This window comes from Homo sapiens, chromosome 12 (assembly GCF_000001405.40).
Source record: "Homo sapiens chromosome 12, GRCh38.p14 Primary Assembly".
In the NCBI taxonomy this organism is placed as follows: Eukaryota; Metazoa; Chordata; class Mammalia; order Primates; family Hominidae; genus Homo; species Homo sapiens.
In genome coordinates this window covers 126403621-126424316 of record NC_000012.12, presented here as the reverse complement: position 1 = coordinate 126424316, position 20696 = coordinate 126403621, and the positions used below count along the sequence as shown (strand labels likewise).

General features: G+C 39.5%; 2 long non-coding RNA genes across 2 annotated transcripts in view; one reads left to right on the top strand and one right to left on the bottom strand.

Moving 5' to 3' along the window:
- LINC02825 (long intergenic non-protein coding RNA 2825) overlaps positions 1-20696 on the top strand; it is a 48536-nt gene that overhangs the window by 25011 nt on the left and 2829 nt on the right. The window contains exon 3 of the long non-coding RNA NR_147498.1: positions 18789-18858. This is a non-coding gene — a long non-coding RNA (long intergenic non-protein coding RNA 2825). The remainder of the gene's footprint in view (positions 1-18788; positions 18859-20696) is intronic.
- LOC124903048 (uncharacterized) lies at positions 16892-19390 on the bottom strand. Its single transcript, XR_007063515.1, has 2 exons — positions 19269-19390; positions 16892-18225 (listed from the first exon to the last, which is right to left on the bottom strand). It is a non-coding gene; the product is annotated as an uncharacterized LOC124903048 (long non-coding RNA).

Sequence of the window (20696 nt, the reverse complement as noted above, 5' to 3'; positions counted from 1 at the left end):
TTCATTCTACAAGAGTCAATGATTCATATTACATAATGTATAATGTTATTAACATAATATCTGTGGCTTCAAAATAGGAATATGCATAAAACAGGTATATGTATTGATTGATGGAATGTTGGGACCAGTGGCTCCCAGAAACCTAACCCTGTATTTCTCCTGGAAGCAGTGGTTCAACATGCGCTAATTCATTATGATGACTTGATGGAATGCGCAATCTCAAATAATAAGAATTGACTGTAATACATTAAGTATTTTACAAATTATACCAAGTGTCTTTTGCATCCTTAAGAAACCCTGATTGGTAGAATCATTGTCTGTCTTTTATACATGTGGTTTAAGAAAATATGAAACACAGTCCCTGCCTCTCAGGCAGGCCACACAAAGCAATTCAGGGCCCCAGAACTACCCCAACTTCTGCACTGGGCTCAATGCTCTGCCTTCTTGCTTAGACAAGGGGAAGCTGCTGGAATCACATCTTTTCTGTACTGACTTGCCCACTGCTCTCCAGGGCCAGAGCCTGGCCGTAAAGCAAGTCTCACCTGTTCTGTACAGACCAAAGGCTCCATGAGAAAAGAAACCAATAATATTTCATTTCCAGCTCTAGCCCTAGGCAGGTGAAATCCTTCCAGCTGCAGGCAGCTGGAAATGCTGCCTGGCGCTCATTCAAACAACCTGGAACTGCATCGCCTTGCGTAAGAGAAGACTTGAGGCTTAGGGAGTCTCTCAGTATCACCAAGCCCTGTCATTAAGGTCATTGGGAAACTACAATCCAATCCAAGCAGAACTACACATGGCCCAGATCCTTCAGGAATGAAGGTTTGGGTCACTCTACCAGGTAAAAAAAACCACAATATGCTGAGGTTCTTGCTGAAGGCAAAGGGAATACAGAATGGGTAATGGCAGAAGCTAGTTATCTAGTGGTGAACGTGTGGCCAGTTGCAGAAACAGGGACGGTAAGACAAGGAGGACTGAAAATGTCCTCCTTATTTTGCTAAGACTATATTTGTGCAGGTATACACTTGCACTAAGAAAATTCTTCATTTTATTTCCATTCTTTTTCCTTTATCTTGTGACATAAGATTTGTTGACTCCATATCAACATTTAAGTGTTGTTAACTTTATGTAATAGCATTTAGGCTAAGGATTAATGCACCTCTGGTTGTACGAAGGATAGCTGTATTATTTTAGGCATAATTATGACCTTATCATCTTTATTTGGAGATATATATGGATTCAAGTTGACAAGGGGTAGACTTGTGATGGTTAATACTGGATGTCAACTTGATTGGATTAAAGGATATGAAGTATTGTTCCTGGGTGTATCTGTGAGGGTGTTGCCAAAGGAGATTAACATTTGAGTGAGTGGACTAGAAGAGGCAGACCCACCCTCAATCTGGGTGGGCACTATTCAATCAGCTGCCACTGCAGCTAGAATACAGCAGGCGGAAGAAGCTGAAAGGACTTGACTTGCTGAATCTTCCGGCCTTCATCTTTCTCCTGTGCTGGATGCTCCCTGCCCTTAAACATCAGAATCCAAGTTCTTTGGCTTTTAGGCTCTTGGACTTATATTAGTGGTTTGCCAGGGCTCTGGGGCCTTCAGCCACGACTGAAGGCTGCACTGTCGGCTTCCCTACTTTTGAGGTTTGGGACTCGGACTGATCCACTACTGGCTTCCTTGCTCCTTAACTTACAGATGGCCTGTGGTGGGATTTCACCTTGCGATTGCATGAGTCAATTTTCCTTAATAAACTTTTTTTCATATGTACATCTATCTATCTTATTAGTTCTTTCCCTCTAGAGAACCCTGACTGATACAACTTTGGTTATGGGATTGCTTTAATCTTTCTGGGTGATTTTAGCTTGCAGGAAGTCTTGGGAACTGCTGTGAAGATACTTGTCGGTTGCAGGTGTGACTCATCAGGCCACCTTATTCTAAGCTCCCTATTCTACCCACTTCCATTCCCCTCTCCTGCCTCCCACTCTGTAGTCTATCCTGGAGGGCCCTACATTCAACTGGCTGCTAACCTAACATCACTTCAGTTTTATCTGTGGCAAGCCCAGGCCACTGATCAAGCAGGATGAAAGCGTATTTCTAGTGAAGGAGACAAGATGAGAAATGGGCACAGTCCTGGCCCTGCTCAGAAGCACCTGATTTCATTGACCTGTGTCTAAAGCCGTTTACTTCAACCTTCTTTTAAATGCATCAGTACTCCCTTTAAAAAAATTCTTGTAGCCATTTTGACAAAGGTAATAAGATGATATCTCATTTTTTGTTTTCATTTGCATTTCCCTGATGATTATTATTAAAAAGACAGAAAATAACAGATATTGATGAAGATGCAGACAAAAGGGAATCCTTGTACACTGTTGGTCGGAGTGTAAATTAGTACAAACTCCACAAAAAACAGTATGAACATTTTTCAAAGAACTAAAAATAGAACTACCATTCCATCCAGCAATCCCACTACTAGGTATCTACCCAAAGGAAAATAAATCATTATATCAAATTATACATCATTATATCAAAAAGATACCTGCACACATATATTTGTTGCAAAACTATTCACAATGACAAAGATACAGAATCAACCTAAGTGTCCATCCAAGGGAAAATGGATAAAGAAAATGAAGCATATACACACAATGGAATGTTATTAAATTATGTCTTTTACAGCAAGATGGATGGAACTGGAGGTCATTATCTTAACTGAAACAAGCCAGAAACAGAACGTCAAATATTGCAGCTTCTCACTCATAAATGGGTGCTAAAAAATGTGCACAGTTGGACGTAAAGAATGATGGAAAATGGAAACTAGAAAGGATGAGGGGGTGGGAGGAGGGAAGATAATGAGAACTTGCTCAGTGGGTACAATGTGTGTTATTTGAGTGATGGATGCCTTAATCCCCTGACTTGACCACTATGAAGTCTATGCATGTAACAACATTGCACATGTACCCCATGAATTTATAAAAATAAAAAATTGTACACACCCTAATTGTGCCTTGAAATTATTATTATATTACCTAATCTTTATACCCATAACATTGGGAATAGATATCTTATGTTTATTGCCCTTACAGAAGTATACAACTAAGATCTATTTAAACATTAAATGCAAAACAAAACTGCACACCAATTTCAGTTCAATTTAAATGTGATAATAGTATTGCTTTTTCTGAAACTTGTCCACTGCTTGCAATATGATTGTGGTCGAGGCCATTATGCTTGTTTGCTATATTTAGTTCAGTTAGTCTAGAGCCCTGGGCATGCTTTAGTGACTCAACTCTCTTACAACCCCTTCTCTAATTTAACACAATGAAATATTAACCATATTATGTGCCAAGAGGCCACTGGAATATTACCCAGCACAAACATGTCATTTAATTTCTCATATCAAACTTTATCATCTTTTAATTAGTGTGAAGCATATAAAAATACTTCTTTTTTTTTTTTTTGAGACGGAGTCTTGCTCTGTCGCCCAGGCCGGACTGCGGACTGCAGTGGCGCGATCTCGGCTCACTGCAAGCTCCGCTTCCCGGGTTCACGCCCTTCTCCCGCCTCAGCCTCCTAAGTAGCTGGGACTACAGGCGCCCGCCACCGCGCCCGGCTAATTTTTTGTATTTTTAGTAGAGACGGGGTTTCACCTTGTTAGCCAGGATGGTCTCGATCTCCTGACCTCATGATCCACCCGCCTCGGCCTCCCAAAGTGCTGGGATTACAGGCGTGAGCCACTGCACCCGGCATAAAAATACTTCTTGATAACAGTTATGAAAACATACTCAATGTCCCATGCTAAAATGGGCTGGACTCAGTCAGATGGATGGTGTTGAACCAGACTGTAGGGGATACACTGAGATTTTTGCTGTGTCATCATAATGGAAACTCCCAAATAAAGCAATTTTTGCTTGCAGTCTTTAAAATGCAATTTGAGCTGGGCGCGGTGGCTCACGCCTGTAATCCCAGCACTTTGGGAGGCCAAGGCGGGCGGATCACCTGAGGTGGGGAGTTTGCGACCAGCCTGGCCAACATGGAGAAACCCAGTGTCTACTAAAAATACAAAATTATCTGGGTGTGTTGGTGCATGCCTGTAATCCCAGCTACCCGGGAGGCTGAGGCAGAAGAATCGCTTGAACCCGGGAGGCGGAGATTGCGGTGAGCCGAGATCACGACACTGCACTGTAGCCTGGGCAACAAGAGCGAAAATCTGTCTCAAAAAAAAAAAAAAAAAAAGCAGTTTGAAATATACTGCCTTATAAACATTTTCCAAAAATAACAGCATCTTCCTATTAGTGCCCCATGAAAAGCCCAAGACCTCTCTGAATTCTTGCCTCACTTTGCCTGTATGCCCCACATAACGCTTGTCATGTTTGGCCTCACGGACTTCAAATTCCAATAAAGACAAAGACGGGTCCATATTGCCCAGTGATTGAGAATGTGTGCCCCGGACCAGGCACTGTTGAATTCACATTCCTGCTCAGCTTCCTGCTAGTTACATGACCTTCCTCATGGGACCCAACCTATCTGTTTGCCTCACTTACCTCAAATGGTATTCGTAAGAGAACCCACCCTATGCCATTGTGGAGAGATTAAATAAAACAATTCAAGCAAAACACTTATCACAGTGTCTGGTAGATGTACATGTTCAATATGTGTTAGCAATGATAAACTATCATTTCAATCCCTCCTGAAGTGGCGTATAGCATCATTACTGCATAATTTTTCTAATTGATACCTAGCAAATTCGCACAAATTCAGTAGTTTAGAAAACATTTATGATCACACAGTGCTGTAGGTTACAAGTCTAAAGGGGGCTCCACTGGATCTGTCTCAGGGAATCAAAAGGCCAAAAGCAAAATGCTGATCAGTTACTTGGGCTCTGTTCTGGAGGCACTGGGGATGAATATGCTTGCAATCACATTCAGGCTCTTGGTTAAAATCCTGTCCTTGAAAACGCAGGACCAAGGTCCCTGTCTCTTTCTTGGCCATCAGCCAGGGACCACTCTCAATTTCTAAAGGCTGCTCACATTCTTTGGCCCCTCTTGGTCTTCAGAACAACAATGGGCACATCAAATCCCCCATGGGCTTGGAGTCACTGACTTCCTCTTCTGCTCTCAGCTAGAGAAAACTCTCTGCTTTTTAAGGGCTCGTGCAATTAGATTAGACCACCCAGATAATCTCCCTTTTGTTAAATATGGTAACAAATTTCATCCACATAGAAAAGGGAGGGGAGTATACAATCATCATCATCATCATCATCACGACAATAATAGTTAATAATTGCGTTAATGTTCTATTGCTTCATGGCAACCCACCATGCATGAAGCTCCAGTGCCAGGAACTGTTATAAGCAGTTAACTTATATTAAGGTGGGTATTACTATTATCATTTCATATCTAAGAAAAATGAGGTAGAGAGAGATTAAGAGCTTATCCAAAATCATCACGTTTACAGCCTTGTATATAGTAACAATTTCACAATGGCTTGATGAATTAATATTGGAATTCACTCCTACTTTAATTTGCATGCCAACAGTGACAATTCTCACAGTACCACAGGGCAATTAGAAAATCCTACTTCAAAATGTCTGCATATGGAAAGTTTGTTACCCTTGACAACTTTCTTCTCATAGGAAATACTTGCATTCAGGAGCTGACTGAGAGCCCGATATATGAATGTGGCTTGTGACGTGCTATTTGGAAAAGCACTTGTTCATGGAATGATAAAGAACTGGTTTCTGTTCTAATTCTGAAATTCATTCCAGGCCACATTTCCCCCTCAAATTCGCCTCCGGGGAAACAAGCTTCCTTGGTTACATCAGTGCAGCTACCACGACCCAGAAAAGCACCAATAGCAGTAGAAATTCCCCATTAATAACAGCAAAGCAACTTCCACATGATTCTCTGTGTTAATGAAACAACAGAGAAAAATGTTGATGCAGTTTTCTTAATGATAGACATTTGAATTAAGTAAAAAGTAAGTAAAATAAGAAAATTACAGGAATGCACATCAGTCATCTGATTTAACTGGTTGGAAATTTTTGGGATACAGATTCAGTCTGCAGTAAATGATAATGTTTATATGACAATATTCTTCACAAAAGCTAATACCCCAGTAGTCAATGATTAAAAATTCATCACTAAACTCTGTGTAAAACCTCTCCCTGCCACATGTCCTGAAAATTAACCAAAATGTGTTTACTTTCTTTCTAGTAGAGAGTTAGAGATTTTGAAAAGTGGATGTTCAAAGGTATTTCCTTTATTAGTAATAAAAGTTTTGCACTATTTATTATACATATCAATTCCTATCAATAAATCTCCTTTATAGAGTGTTCACACTTACTGTTCAATTATTTATAGGTTTTGGACTTGGGTAATATACTTCTATTTGCTTTTAATTTCCTCATTTTATCTTGCAAATGGTGCCGCACTTCGTTATGCATGATTTGGTATTAAATTATGTAGAGGTGCCATATTGCCACGGAACGCCTGCATTTGATGAGGGTATTAAAATAGTAACAATGTAAATCACCATAGCAACAAAAACATAAATTCATACCCCATTTCATATTCTGTGTTAAAAATCCTATAGCTCTTGCAAATTCAGGTAAAATGTAACTCAAACCCAGCCACTGAATCATTCCGGACCCAGAGATACATCAACTTTAAAGAGCATTGAATCTTTGGAATAGCTCATACCAAATAGCATAAATCACTTTTTAAATAATTTCAGACTCCCAGAACAGCCTAAAAATTAGTACAGAGAGTTCCAAAATATTCTTCATCCAATTTCTCCTGATGTTACTTACATAACCATATTCGATGCTTAGGATCAGGAAATTTACATTGACGCAATACTATTATATCAGCAAACTTTATCAAAATTTCACAAGTTTACTTTCCCTCCCACACCAGCTTTTTTTTTCTGGTTCAGGATCCATTTTGGACTAAGTTTATGATATTTCCCTAGTCTCATCCAATCTGTGATCGTTCCACACACTGCTTTATCTTTCATGACCTTCCACTATTGAAGAATACTGGTCAATTGTTTTGAAGAATGGCCCTCAATTTGCATTTTTCCCATGTCCTGTTTATTTTGATATAAATCCACATAACAGAGGCTGTGCCATTCTGAGTGCATCATACCAGGTGGTGCAGGGGCATTGATTTTTTTTTTTTTTTTTGGATGGAGTCTCGCTCTGTCACCCAGGCTGGAGTGCAGTGGCGTGATCCCAGCTCACTGCAACCTCCATCTCCCGGGTTCAGGCAATGCTCCTGCCTGAGCCTCCCAAGTAGCTGGGATTACAGGCACCCACCACCATGCCCAGCTCATTTTTGTATTTTTAGTAGAGACGAGGTTTCACCATGTTGGCCAGGCTGGTCTCAAACTCCTGAACTCAAGTGATCCGCCCCCCTTGGCCTTCCAAAGTGCTGGGATTACAGGCATGAGCCACCGTGCCCAGCCAATATTTTGTTTTATTAGTGATGTTAAGTTGTATTGCTTAAAGTGGTATCTACTTAGTGTCTTCATTTGAAATTACTGGCCTCTCTTTGTAATGAGTAAGTGTCTGTAGACAGATACTTTGACCCTTGGCAAATACTACGTTTCTCTTAAAACTTTTGACTTTAAAAGTCAAAAGTATACTGACATTAGCCAATAATTTTATTACTGTAGAATTGGTCTCAAGATGATTTCCTATTTCACATATTTTTTCTGCATTTTCATGGTGATTCTACTCCTTAAAAAGCTATATTTTCTCCACTATTGATTTATTGATTAACATCAATATCATATTTTCTCTTGAGTTATTCAATACTACCACACTTTGTTGTTCAAATTGTTCCAGCTTCAAATATCTTGATCTCCTCCAATTTGGTTTCTATGACCTTTCAATAGGCCTTCATCACGGTTGAGTTTTTTCTTATTTTTGAGCACCCTAAGATGCTCTAGGCTTATCCAGTAATTCCTCTGTCTCAGCCCAATAATCACCTTTTTTTTTTCCAGGAAACTCTGATTTATGTTATTGGAATATGGTATTAGAGACCAAGATCTGGGAAACAGGAGGTCTCATTGTTACTGGGGTGCCATTGCTTAGGCCCTTTTAAAAGACAGAGCTAGAGAATATATGTGTGTGTATTAAGTTGTGTGTACATGCATCTTTATTTATGTATCTATTCATCTGCACATGGGTGTGTGTTTGTGTGTATGGGTGTGAGTTAATACAATTGCCTCTAGGTGTAGGTGAGGAATTGGATCCAAGACTGCTGTATATACTAAATTTTCACATACTCAAGTCCTGCAATTGGCTCCATGAAGCATACATATAGGAAATGTCAGCCCTCCGTATACCTCAGTTTCACATCCCATGAATGTTGTTTTTATCTTTGGTTGAAAAAATTCTGCATATAAGTGAACCCACACAGGTCAAACCCATGTTGTTCAAGGGGCAATTTCTCTAATACTTCACATTCTGATCTAACATGCCTGGGTTCACTCTAGCCTTCTCCACTTCCATATGTGTAGTTTTCCTCCATTGTTGAGAAACCTGGCTCTACCATATATTTTACATGTGTGTTCAATCCTAGTATACATACAAAGTAGTTTCAGAATTCATAGAAAGTAGTTTTCAGAATTGCTAACTTATAACTTTGTGAGAAACAAATGTGCTACTATATGAAAACATCAGTGTACAGTTCTTTTAGTCTTCAGCCTTTTAGCGTACTGCCAAAATGCTGTTTTCCAGACTTGCTTAAGTTAGTTCTTTGCGTTCTCACTCTCAGTAGGTTGATGTTTTTCATTTGTAATATGGATGTCTCTATGTACTGTTTGCATTCCTTTCTTTCTGCCCTCCCCCACCCACCACACGCATTTTGGTTGATTTTATTTATTTATTTAGGAAGTATGTAAAACATTACCATGATTCCACAAGGCAGCAATTAAAAAACAGTGTACTCAGAGGAATGCCACTCCTCCTGATACCTGCAATCTCATCCTCATCCTCGATTCATCACGTTCTCTTTCTACCCTCACCCTGCAGGCAACCTCATTTATTTCGAGTTGTTCCTTCCTGTAGTTCTTTTGTACAAATGACTACATTCATGCATATTTTCTTATATCCACTTCTCACATGATGGTAGTATACTACAGATGATCTTTTATGCTTTGCTCTCCTATTTAATTTGTAGCTCTGAATCATGCTTATTTCCAAAAATAGGTGACATTTATTTCACTGTATGAGATTTTATTGCAAGCTACACATATAACGAAAATATTTCAGGTGGATCAATTCATTTTCTTCTATGGCTTTCTTAAATCACATCAAACACCTTTAGAGAAACAACATATAGATTTGTTTAAATATGCTAGTTCTCTCTGTTCTCATCCCTATGTATTTCCACATTATAGAAAAACATACTTTTTCTCCTACAGTTTGAAAATATTATTTCATGGCAAGCCAAAATTTTAACATCTTTTCTAGAGCAAACCTAATAGCCATCTTGTAGGTAAATATCTAAGAAGGCCGTGTCTTTCTGTTTCTATAAAGTAAAATAAATTCCCTAAGTGCTTCAGCACATTTTAAAGAAACAGAAAAATAGACTGACACTTACATTTTGAAAACCTCATATTATAGGTAGGCAAAACACATCCCTACGTATCAGTGTGCATGGAACATACTGGATATTTAGCATAAAATCTTTTTATTTTGGGGGAGAGTTTATAGATAGAATGGGATTTGCCAAGATTTACATTTGCACTCTTGCCCAAATATGTAGTTAAGTTAGGAAATTCTAGTTTGCATCTGAACATAATGCATGTGTGTATGTATGTATGTAATACATATATTTAATATCTTTCACAGTTTTTAAAAAATCTTTGTGGAATCAAAGAGACATCTGAGCTTCCACTGTTCAAAGCAATATACCTAAGAGCTAAGGGGAACAGTTTTTTTGCCTTTGGGATTGGCCACATCTCTTGACGTAGCTTAGAAAGCATGACCCTTGATAAGAGCTGACAGAATCAGCTCTATAGGTGACGGCTCATACGTCTGCCATCAGAATCCCCTGTTTGTTTGCCCATAAGCCATTTTAGTCTCAACCGTTGGATTGAGATATGGAACATTAGTCAGTTTCTTAGACAGGGTAAGGGAACCATACAACCAGGTATGTTCATTTGCGACATCTTCCGGGCTTATTCAGTAGCCACTATCTTCAATTGGGCATTGGTGTCTTTTGAGGAGATGAGAAAATGTGATTGATTTACAAGTGCTTGCCTGTCCCATCCAAGACTTGTGAGATTTAGTCTCCATATATGGGATCACGTCCTCTTTTCTACAATGCCCATATCCAATCCTTCTCTGCATAACGTACAGGATGCTTTGTTTTGGTGACTTAACCTTCCTATCTATTTTTATGTGTGTACCATTGAAATAGCACCTTTTTAAAACATTATTTTTTCAGTTATGGCTGGGCCATGATGGCATTAGTATCACACTCATTCTCATTTTTATGGTCTGAACTTTTACAAAACATGGGCACAATAGTCACAATGTTAAAAAAATAAGTAAGCTCTATTTCTATAAAAAGCACAGTAGTTAATCCACAGGTAAAGTTACAGAGAACCATTAGGGCTGATGACTTCGGTGCACTAAAGTTGCATCACAGGGAGAGAGGGAAATGGAATAATGAATGATCCCTTAGTCTGAACCTCAGATGATGTTTGCCAGCATCCAAGGTGGTCGGGGAAAGAAGAGAGACAGCCACGGCAGAGGTAGATAAGCCATGCTGGGACCCTTTGACTCTCAAAACAGCATTGTTCAGCACCCGTTTGGAGGCTACCATATGAGTCTTATACTGTCCTCTAAAGTCTTTTACACCCATTGCTAAAATTCAGGACTGTTCACAGTCTGAGGAGGATTTCCAAGGGTGCAGAACTTTCAATGCCACACCTGGATGGCTGGCCATCCTAGAACGGGATTTTTAAAGCACCTTGGAAGAGATTTGCAAACACGGGGGCAGAGTTGACACACTCCTTCCACTTTCCTTTTCTTCTTTTTTCCTGTATATAATATCCTTCTTAGTATTCCCTCTGCTTCAGTCTCTTTCTTTCTCAGACTCTGCTGTGAAGTGCTAGCTCAAGTGTTGACATCGCTACTTCATCTGCTGTGGATGAGTCTTGGACAAATTTTTTACTATTTTACTAGCCTTCATGAGCCATGGTCTCCTCATTATACAATAGGGATTAAAATTCAGTACATTATAAGTTTATTGTTAGGAGAAAATGAGCAAATAAATATAAAATGCCTGACATCATAAGGGATCAATAATTCTTAGCTATGATGTATTTTTATTATTGCTTGTTTTTCTAATTCAAAAGAAAATTCACTATTTAACAAAGTTATTAATGTATAAATGTATAATATATGTATGGTGGAATCTCAAGTGTATTTCTAAATATACTTGTATATATTATGTATATATTTATATATACTTATGTATAAACATATACATGTACATATTTATATATACTTATGTATAAACATATACGTGTACGTATACATAATACACATATGCATATGTGCATATTTACATATATACACATATACATGCACACATGCACACACACGTATAATACACACATGCACATATATGTACATACATATATACACATACATACACATACACATACATATATACATGCATATATACACATGCATACACATATGCACATGCATATACTCACACACATACATACTTATGTGCACATACACACATATATACACATATATACATATACACACATGCATACATACAAATATATACATATACATACATATATACACACACATACATATATATACACACCCACACACAAACACCCCAGAAGGCTCCTTATTGCCCTTTTAAATACTCAGCACTCTATGTTCTCAGCATTCACTTCTATTGCCATGTTTTTGATTGTTATCTGTTCTTAAATCTCTTATTAATGAAATAATACAAATCCTGGCCTTTGGGTGACATCTTTTGTACATTATTTCTGTGTGATCCATCCAAGTTGCTATGTGTATATCAATGACACATTTTTTACTTTTTACTTTTAATTCCAGCATGGTATTCCATATAAATACACCACAATATTTTTTATCCATTCAACTTTAAGTGGTGATTTAGATTATTTCTAGGTTTAGGTGTTATGAATATGGCTGCTAGAAACATGTTTTGTGCACGCGTTTTGATGGGCATATGCGCCCATTTTCCTTGGCAGATAACCAGGAGTAGTACTGATGAATAGATACTAACTGCAGGTGTTAGATAATATTGCTTTGCCATTAGTTAATAGTGCCACAGAGTTTTCCAAAGTGGTGGTACCTCATTTACTTGTTCTAGTCCTCATAAGAGTGTTGGTGAAATCATGTTCCTAACCTTCAGTTGCAGAGATCATTGTACCTAGCCCAATAGTCTATCTCTTAGCTTTTCACCTTTCCTTACTGACTGTCCCTCTGGATGCTGTCTGTGTAATAGAGAGGTCGAAAGGAGAGACCTTCCCATCCACCCTCACTGCCTCCTCTCAGTGATAATCCTGGCCATTGTGCTGCAGAAATTGACCCTTTCCCCATCACTTTATTTTGAACTTCTCTCTTATTTTTGCATCTCCATGACAGCCATTTTCTCTTCTTCTGCTTTGCTTCAAAGATCTAAATTTCTCCAAAAAAAAAGAGCAAAGGAAAATTCAGTGAAACCAACACGTATCTAGCTAGTTTCAAACATTCAGTTTTCCAAGTTTCTCCACTTTATACTTTTTCTTAATTAGAACTCTAACAACCCTGTGTCAGATCACTCTGAGTTTATTGCACTTGAGGAATTGACCACCCCTGGGTAGGTTTACGTTCCAGAAAGGGCGACTGCACACATCCAGCCTCTATAGTCACACGAAAACATAGCCCATGGGAATGAGAGCCAAGCTCACTCTTACCACCTCATCTACTCACAACAGTGCCGACAATTTGCTCTGCGAAAATGAAATGAAGGACCTGCTGTGCCTTCCTCTCAGAGATCAATCTAAGCATCTTCACAGGAGCATGGGGATGCAACTTGGGAAGAGATCAGTGTCAATAGGAAGTCAAAATCTCACACTCTGGTAGCTCAAAATTGCCTTTGTTTCTACTGCTCTAAACAAGTAAATGACTCTCTGGTTTTAGCCAGGCATAAAGAGACTGACTCATGTCATTCATCTAAACTCACAAAGAAGGTTGTTCTTATTTGCTTGGCTTCGTTCCCCAAGGGGAGCTTTGATGGGTGTGGGGCTGCATCCCAGGTAGAGAGAAGACTCTATCTCTGTTTTATGTAGTCGCCCTTGTGTCATTCTCCTATGGAACCAATAGGGGTGATTCCATAAAACTTCAGAACAGGCTTCAGGGAATTACTGACACAGGTTCCTGGGGATCCTCTGAGAATGAAAATATGAAAGAAAAACAAACTCTGTAAAATATTTTAAAGAGGTTTACTCTGAGCTGGTATGAGTGACCATGGCCCCAGGCATCACAATCTCAACGGAGGCAGTCACATTACAGTTTTGTTTTTATTTTTGGTTGTTTGTTTTTTAATGGAGTCTTGCTCTGTCACCCAGGCTAGAGTGTAGTGGCACAATCTCGGCTCGCTGCAACCACTGCCTCCTGGGTTCAAGCTAATCTCATCCCTCATCCTCAGCCTTCCAAGTAGCTGAGATTATAGGCGCGTGCCACCACCCCTGGCTAATTTTTGTATTTTTAGTAGAGAAGTGTTGGCCAGGCTGGTATCAAACTCCTGACCTCAGGTGATCTTCCCGCCTCAGACTCCCAAAGTGCTGGGATTACAGGTGTGAGCCACCATGCCATGACTGGATTACAGTATATTTTTTACATTTCAAGGAGGCAGGAGATACAGGCAAAGACATAAATCAATACCTGGAAGACACACATTTGTTCAGCCCCAAAAGGTGGGACAGTTTGAAGTGGGGAGTGGTTACAGGTTGTAGGTGGATTTAGAGATTCTTCAATTTGCAATGGGTCAAAGGAGTAAGGCTTTGTTTAGAAAGAGAGGTCTGAAAAGAAAAAGTGTTTTTTTGTTGTTGTTTGTTTTGTCTTTAAGACAAGCTCTGGCTCTGTCGCTCAGGCTGGAGTGTAGTGGTGTAATCACAGTTCATTGCGGACTCGACCTCCTGGGCTCAAGTAATCCTCCCACCTACGCCTCCCAAGTAGCTATAGGACTACAGGCCTGTGCCACCATGCCAAGCTAATTTTTGTATTTTTCGTCTTGTACTGTGTTGCTCACAATGGTCTCAAACTCCTGGGCTCAACCCATCCACTGCCGTGGCCTCCCAAAGTGGAAATGTTCTAAGATAAAAATGATGTATAGCAAGGCTGATGGTCTGCAGGCACAAATTAACTCTTACTTTGAATGGCCTTATGTCTTGTTTATAATTTGGTATCTTATTGCCACAAACAGTCTGTTTTTTCGGTCATATAATCTCTAATTTAACATTAACACTAGTCAGTTTTGCCTAAACTCCAAAACGGGATATAGAGAAGTGTGTCCGACCTTCCATCACATCATGATACAGGACTATGTTTTTCAGATTTCTCTGGGGTCCTCTTGGCCAAGACCTCTTGGTTAGTTTGGGGGCTTAGGATTTACTTTTAGTTTACAGAAACAATATGGACATATGAAGGTGGAGGACTGAGCCAGTCTGTTTAGCACCCATTAACTTTCTAAGGGTTCTACTTCTAAGATTTAAAAACAAACCAAACACAAACAGCATTGCTACGCCTCTCCCTTTTAAGCTTGGTCAGTCAAGGAAGACATTTTAAATCATGAGACAGTGATGAAAATGAGCTAAATTGCCTACATATTACATGTATTTAGGGTGAACAAATGTCAACACTGAGAAACACTGAAAGAGGAAAGACAAAAATAGACTTTCTTTTGCCAAAAGTAAACTTTCTGTAATTGGCAGGCTCCTGTCTTCTAATTCCATGAAGAGTGACCAAGGCATGGCTGTCTTGGAAGCACCTAAATAACATTACTGTAAGAAGCATGAGTGACTCTCCAACCAGGCATTGTCCAATAAGGTAGATGTTGAACACACTGGAAGTGATGGTTTGGAAATGATACCAGTTCAACTGAGAAACTGAATGAGTGACCCATGGCCCATGGCCGAGAATGTGCTCCTTAAGTACCAAGTGCCATAAATGCATCTGGGTCCACAGAGCAAGGCAGGCATGGGATGCTCAGGAAAGAAGCACAGGGTTTCTCTAAAGTTAGCTCAGGACTTAACTGTTCACAAGGAGGATGTGGTTAAGGCTTAAATGTCCAGAGAGAAGAGGATGATAGAGCACGCCTTGCACATAGCAACTGGCAGGATAGCCTTGTAGGAAGTCATCTCTCTGTGAGGCTGGACATCTGGATTCCATGAGAAACCTGTGCTCGCCTCCACCACACAGCACTTGCCTTTGCCAACAGAATACCCCATCCATAGGTCTCACAACTGTCACTGCTCTGAAGCCACTCCACCTTGATGGTGACAAGGAGCTGAGGGGTTTTACAAGCCAAATAAGCATTATGGGGTAGGACCCCAAATCAGAGAGAGCCAGCTTGAACCCTGGGCTGCAGAAATTTTCAAAATAACTGGAGTTCTATGAAGTGAGTTTGAAGAGGAGGAATTGCCTTATGGAAAAACCTCCATCAACAATGCTAGTCGAATGCTGTGTGTGGTCATCACACTAGAAACTCCAAGGAGACTCTCTCCTGGAATCCTGAGGTATTACTTATGATCCTCATAGCCACAAAACTCATTTTGTGAGTTCCTGCTCGTCCAGGAAGATGCTGGTACATCTACATCAATAAGGTAGACGCTGAACATCTACATCTATAAGGTAGATTGAATACCGGAAATGAGGCACTGGAAATGATACTAGTGCAATTGAGACACTGAATTTGTAACTTTAATTAAATAAAATTTAAATTTGAAAACTGACAGTATAAGTTTTATGGGAGGGGAATGAGACTCTCTCTCTCGATCAGAGGAGCGGGGTGAGCATACATGGCAGGAGGAGAGGTTGGAGCTGCCTTTGAGGATGACCCACCACAGTGGGATTCCCCTAAACACATGTTGATTGACTCTTCTCAAAACGTCCACAGATTGCATAATGCTCTTCCAGAAACTCACAAAAGCATATAACAAGAGAAAAGGTGAGTTCACTTTAGCTAGGAGGTGCTGACACCAGGTCTTTACTGTGCAGGTGAGGTAAGACATGTTCTGCTCATTCACCTCCTTTTCTCTCCTCTTATCCAATTTTATAGGAAGGGGACATGGAGAAGGAATGAGAAAGAGAAAAACTTACCATGCTTTCAATTTTAGCAGCAGTGTTCTAATTCAACAAGGGCCTGAAATGGAAAAAAAAGAAACATTAAATTGAATGAAAAGGCAGAATTTTGATATTATACTGCACAAGACTCCAATTACTACAATGAGATATTTTATGTAATAAAAAGAATCAGCAAGACTCTGAACTGTGCCTGTGATTTTATCCAAGAACAGAACAGAACAAGTCAAGAGATCTGGTTTTTGAATTAATTTTCAATTAGAATATAACTTACATATGGTGACATTTATTGTTTTGTTTGGTTCTACAAAATTTGACAAATTTGATATATTTTGCAGAACCATACATTAAAACAGCAAATTTCACCATATGTAAATTAACCACTTCTACAAAGACATGGGGTTAGTTTAATCCCTCCAAAACCTCCCTCATCCCCCGTAGTAATCTAACCCACACTCTACTCCACCTCCTGACAACCACGAATCTATTTCCTGTTCTGATAGTTTTGCCTTTTGCAGTGAAGTCACACAGTATTTGACCTTTTGAGTTTGGTTTATTTCACTTAGGAGTGTGTGTTTAATTGTCTATGTAGAAAATCCCAAGAAATGTACAAAAAAAAAAGATGAAAACTAATAAGTGAGTTCAGCAAGGTGGCAGAATACAAGATCACCATACATACAAGATCACCATACACAAATCAGTGTGGAATAAATTATCTCGGTCAGAGTTGGGCAAACTATGGCCTAGGGGAGCTGCTTATTTTTACAAATAGAGTTTTTATTAGAACAGAGCCACAGTCATTCATTTACATATTTTATAGGTTGCTTTGTTGTTACAAGAGCAGAGTTGAGTATTCGTAATAGAGACCATAACATATTTACTCTCTGGTTCTTTACGGAAAAAGTTTTCTAAACTTTTCTAGATAATAAGCATTTAGGCATTAGAATTAACTGGGAAATATAATACTTAACACAGGTTTTTGTAAAGATTCAATGACATAATATATGGGAAATGTAATTATAATGTAAACAACATATACGTGCCTATTAATGTAATTCAGCATATAGACTGCAGAAAGCTTATTTATCTATTGTTTTTAAAATATGGAATAAAAAAAACCATACTCTACCATAAAACCATACTTACAGAGCTACCAGATCTGCAAATTTAGAATTTTGTTCTGATTTTTTAAAATGGCACCAAGACAGTATCAATTTGATTTTAAAACTGTGTATAGTATTTTCCCATGCAAATTAAGTTTTCAAAACCTACTATTAAGTGACCGCTCTGTGATTTTAGTATACTTGCTCTGTCTTTTACATAAACAAACGGTTTTCATCTTTCTTCCATGGATCCTTCAATTCCACAGAGGTTCAATTATATGTAGGGAGTGACCTAGCAGTCCTGGGAATTAGAACATGGGCATCTTTGATAGGCCATTGTTTAGCCTACCATGGTGGACACTCCCAGGGTTGACTTGGAAATTCCTGGAGGTCTTTTTCCATCCTCTCCTGCCTTCTTTAGCTTATTTAAGGCTTAGTCGTTCATGGTCCCTAGGTGGCTGCCTCTGATTCAGGCACCATCATGTGGTCCCCAGAAAGCAGGACAGAATGTGAGCGCAGTTGAAGGTCTTTACCAAGTGTGACTACTTTCTATGTGTCAAGGAGAAAAATATTTCCAGTGCTTTAAGACGTCCCACCTGTCTCATTGTCTATAAATGGGTCATGTGCTTGTGCCTAGACCAATTACACAGGAGACAAATTTGTCATGAGTGGCTTAGGTTTGACTTCGTTTATCTCCTGGAGCTGGGAACATGGGCAGCCGTGTCGAATCAGGGTCCTTGTCATAGAAGGAAGAGGGAGAGTGCCTGTTGAAGAGACAATAAACAGTGAAAAGCACAGGAGGCCAATAGATTTGAAGACTTTTCAGCTCTAGTTTGCTGGCACTTGAGGTGAGAAAGGAAAAAGTAGAAAAATATCCTTTTTAAATAAACATAAATTAAGTCCAAAACTGACTTTGCCCTCAGAAACTACACTGCAGTTAAGAATAATTGCTAGGCCAGACACTGTGGCTCACATCTGCAGTCCCAGAACTTTGAGAGGCTAAAGTGGGTGAATCACTTGAACCCAGGAGTTTGAGACCAGCCTGGGTAACATAGCAAGACCCCATCTCTACAAAAATACCAAAATTAGCTGGGCGTAGTGGTACACACTAATAGTTCCGGCTACTGAGGAGGCTGCGGTGGGAGGATCACTTGAGCACAGGAGGTGGAGACTGCAGCGAGCAGAGATCGCACCACTGCACTCCAGCCTGGGCCACACAGTGAGACCCTATCTCAAAAAAAAAAAACAAAAAAACTGCTTTTTATGCGTTTTAAAACTGTACCCCTATTTTTCCTAGAGGTTAATTATCCTCATTTTATCTTGCCAGAAGGATAGAGCTCTTCATCTCTGTTAGAAACGACCATCAAAAAGATACATCAATTCATTAGAATCAAAAGGTAGGCTTTTTTAAGTGTTAAATGACAGGAACATCGTTGTTAAGGTTTGCTTCTAAAGCACGGATCCTTTCAAGGTGACCTAGGAAATCTGAGCAAGGTGGGTGAGGAGGAAATTATTTTATGTTAGAAATAGTTACTTCATTGTTACCTCTTTTGAGTTTTCTAGGTCTTTTAAAATCTGATCATTTAATGACAAGTCATATTTCACAGTCATTAAAAAAAGTTTCAGGTGGCCGTTTCCAATTGGAAAACTGGCTGGGCACTGTGGCTCATGCCTGTCATCCCAACATTTTGGGAGGCCGAGGTCGTTGGATCACTTGAGGTCAGGGGTTGGAGACCAGCCTGGTCAATATGGTGAAACCCCGTTTCTACTAAAAATACAAAAATTAGCCAGGCATGGTGGTGGGCACCTGTAATCCCAGCTACGCAGGGGGCTGAGGCAGGAGAATCACTTGAATCCAGGAGGTGGAGGTTGCAGTGAGTCGAGATCGTGCCACTGCACTCCAGCCTGGGAGACAGACGGAAATTCTATCTGAAAACAAAAACAAATTGGAATAATATCTAAAGTTATAAATTTGGCAACTTAACAACTATATCCTTTAAAGTAGAACCATGCAAAATTCATGTATCATGGCAGTCATAATCGTGTGAAAACAACATCCACATATTATGCAGGTGCATCACAAATGGACACGCCCTGTAATTTATTCCTTCTGAACCAAGTCCATCTGAGTTCATCCTGGGAAGACTGATGCCTGAATCTCTGATTAGGTTCATAAGTAAATAATCATCATATTCATTCATGCGTTTCTGCCACAAATATGCCCTAAATCAGGAAGGTACATAGCTATGATTCATGCCTTCAGTGATTTTAAGGGGAAAAAAAGGCACCTCTCTGTGAGTTACGAGTCTGAGCCAGGGTGAGGATAAAATGACATGAGCTAATCACAGTAGTGAAAGGTGACATTTTCCCATCAGACTGAATCATGATAACAAGACAATAACAAGATATGTGTGAGAACATTCCCCTGCCAGAGGACAACCCTGCAGCCTCATTTTGCAGCTAATGACATTTTTCATTTTAAAACCATTCCATTTTTCTTATAGATGTATTTGATTACGTGAAATACAATCACACAATCACTTTAGAATAATCAGAACATACAGATTATTTTTAAAAACTTAAAGAAAAATTAAACTCACTGTTATGGTTTGGATGTTTGTCCCCTCCAGATCTCATGTTGAACCTGCAACCCTGGGAATGGCATTTCAGCATGAGATTTGGAGGTGATTGAATCATGGATGCCCAAATCATGGATTTGAAGGTGACTGAATCATGGAGGCCCAATCCCTCATGAATAGTTTACCACCATCCCCTTGGTGATAAGTGAGTTTGCACTCCATTGGTTCACACGAGGTCTGGTTGTTTAAAAGTCTGGGACATCCCCACCCCTCACTCTCGTTTCTGCTCTTACCATACAACGTGCCTGCTCCTGCTTCACCTTCCACCATGATCGTAAGCTTCCTGATGCCTCCCCAGAAGCTGAACAGATGTTGGCGCCGTGCTTGTACAGCCTGAAGAACCATGAGCCAATTAAACCTCTTTGCTTTATAAATAATTACCCAGCCTTAGGCATTCCCTCACAGCAACACAAGAGCAGCCTAATACAGTCACCCATATCCCCTACCATCAAGAGACAAAAACAGTTTACATTTCAGTAACATTTCTCAAATAAATATAAACCTAAAAATGCAGAGTTATATAGTATTTTCTCCAACAACAGCAATGCCTTTAGTTTCTAGGAAATGTGAAATTTCAAGGAATATTTGCCAGATAC